The sequence below is a fragment of the Homo sapiens genome, chromosome 12 (genome assembly GCF_000001405.40).
Source record: "Homo sapiens chromosome 12, GRCh38.p14 Primary Assembly".
Lineage (NCBI taxonomy): Eukaryota > Metazoa > Chordata > Mammalia > Primates > Hominidae > Homo > Homo sapiens.
Genome location: NC_000012.12, coordinates 113,702,601 through 113,705,452, shown reverse-complemented (window position 1 = coordinate 113,705,452; position 2,852 = coordinate 113,702,601). Strand labels below are relative to the sequence as shown.

The 2,852-nt window shown below is 45.0% G+C and overlaps 1 annotated feature.

Annotated features, from left to right (window-relative positions):
• Positions 1,932-2,431: an enhancer, noted in NCBI's record as "H3K4me1 hESC enhancer chr12:114140827-114141326 (GRCh37/hg19 assembly coordinates)". NCBI's record gives its function as "activates a minimal SCP1, AML or CMV promoter by ChIP-STARR-seq in naive H9 embryonic stem cells {active_cell/tissue: H9 hESC(naive)}" and the evidence as "EXISTENCE:reporter gene assay evidence [ECO:0000049][PMID:30033119]".

Below are 2,852 nucleotides of genomic sequence, written 5' to 3'. Positions count from 1 at the left end.
AGTGGGAGATGGATGTTAACCCTTTTTGTATCTTCGAGTGCTAGAGAGGAAAGAGAGAAGGATGGAAAAATGAAAGACCTGGTCCAAGCCCCAAGGCCTTTAATGAGCCAGGAGATAGGTCAGGATGGGGCTGGGCATCCTGTGTGGCCTCGAGGCAGAATCAGGGACCAGGACTCCTGGGTTCTGGGATTCACTCTGTCACCTAGGACGATGGCTTTGACCTGTCTATGCTTTCATGGGATCTCAAGACTTGGACAAAAGGAGTAACGCTTGGTGAATATGAAGCAATGAATCAAAGAATTTCCTAACCAGCTGAATGGTAACAGGGTTATGCTTGGAACAGCAGCCCACCTTAAGAATGGGGCACACATGGAGATGTGTTTGGTTGACATTTTATTTTACATAATAGCTACATATTTAATGCATGCTAGAAATATATAACCAGCTCCTTGAACCTCTGATTTCATAGATACAATTGCTTCAGTTGAGGCTAAATTTAAAAAGAAAAAAAAGAAAAAGAAAAAACCATGATCCAAAAATAAAAGGACAAGCACAAGCACATTCATGTTTGGCATGTGGCTATGGCAAAAAGAATACAAATGTTTGTTATGCTGGCAATACCTAAGTAACCAAGGTTAATGACTTTCAGATTAACATCATGATAATTGCAGATGACAGAAACCCCTAGGCTTGGAAAAAGGAGATAGTACTTGATAAATATGAAAAATTTGAAGCAATGAGTCAAACGATTTTCTAGTTAGCCAAATGGAGGATATTGTCTGGTATAGCTGCTCTCTAATATAATATGATACAAATGGAGATGCTTTGGGGTCATCTATGAACTTTTAAAATTTTCTTTAATAGTTAAGTGCTTAATGTGTGCCAGCTCACCAAGACTTTTGGTTTCATGGATAGCATTGTTTAGGTTAAAATTCAGTTTAGGCCGGGCGTGGTGGCTCACACTTATAATCCCACCACTTTGGGAGGCTGAAGCGGGTGGATCACCTGAGGTCAGGAGTTTGAGACCAGCCTGGCCAACATGGTGAAACCCCGTCTCTACTAAAAATACAAAAAATTAGCCAGGCATGGTGGCGGGCGCCTATAATCCCAGCTACTCGGGAGGCTGAGACAGGAGAATCGCTTGAACCAGGGAGGTGGAGGCTGCAGTGAGCCCAGATCAGGCCATTGTACTCCAGCCTGGGCAACAAGAGCAAAACTCCATCTCAAAAAAAAAAAAAAAAAATTCAGTTTAAATTTCTTAAAAAGAGTGACTTAAAACAAAATATTGAAGTATAGTTTTATGTGGCTGTGGCAAATAATCATTATGACGGTGACACACAAGTAACTGAGGTTAGCGAATATCAAATTAATGTCACTGCAGCTGCATAGGATAGAAATCCTAGTCAAGGCTCTAAATTAATGACCCTAGATGAGAGTGAGCATAAAAAGAAGTCACCACAAGCCACAGTGTGAATTTATCACCTCTTCTCTTCCACGACAGATTATCCTTGATATTGCCAAAGCACTTCCCCATTAAGCACATTTGGTTCTTAAAGTCATCCTGAAGATGGGCAGTGCCTAGAAAAGTGCCTGGCTCATGGGAGGTGTACAGTATGCCATTGTGGAGTGAGGGAAAGAGGCAGGAGGGAGAGAAACAAGAAAAGAGGGAGAAAAGGAAGAATGAAGGGGATGAAAATAGCAGGTGTTCAATCAACACTAACATGATTATTCCATGCCAAATGTGGTTTGGAGCACTCAGCTTGGATCATCCCATTCAATACTCACAACAGCCCTGTGAAGTAAGAATTCTCATTGATCCCAATTCAGAAGGAGGACACTGAGGTTGAGAGAGGTGGAGCAACTTGCTTGAGGTCATCCAGCTAGTAGGCAACAGAATCAAATAGTATTACTCTCCATGTTTTATAGTCTCAGAGCCTGAGGCACAGAGAGGGTAAGCAACTGGCCCAAGGTCACAAGGACCTTCAATGGATCCAGAGCTTCAGCTCTTAAACACCAAACTATACTGCCTCATAAAAGAGACACACATTTTATAGATGTGAAAAGCTAAGACACAGATTGTGTTAGTCCTAAGGGCACTTAGTGGAGGCTTTAACTTGGATATTGGGACTCCCTGCACCATGTTCTTGTCATCACAGGTGACTATGTCTGCCTGACCCCCATAAGCACTGGGGAAAGTGCTTTTCATGGGCCAAGCAGAAGAGGGACTCTTGCCTAGCACATCGTGGGTGCTCAGTTTGACATGGGCTCCTCCACCCTGGCTCTGTCCCTCCCAGGCTAGGTTCCTTGGCCTGATGGTTTCCCATAAGCCTCCCTTGCGGTTCCGCACCAGCTCTGGGAGCCCCTGGAAGCCCAGCCAGAAACCCCAAGCTCAGCTTCCCAGCAGAGTTACAGAAGCAAGACAATCGCGTTAGGTCCCTGGGGCGGATTTGGCGGCCCCGTCATGCCTTTGAAAGGCAAGCATTCGCTGGGTGGACCGCAGTGAGTGGTTGGAGCAGGTTTCTGTTCAAAGCTCCTTCCTCTAGAGGCATTAAAGATGGATTATAATTCAGAGGGTTAGAGAAGGGTGAATGAAGCCACCTCCCCTCGCAGATAAGATGGTCATGCAGGTGGGACCTTCTGGGTCAAGGGTAGCAAGGATCCAGCAGCAGAAACAATAGCAGCAAAGATGAAGACAGCTGCTGTCACAGCGCCTACCCTGCGCCAGGCTCCATGCTCAATGCTGTAGATCAACAGCTTGCTTTAACTCTCACAACCACCCTGAAAGATGGCCATTAATCCCCAAATGAGGAAAGCAAGACACAGAGAGATTAGGTAACCGACTGGGGGCAACC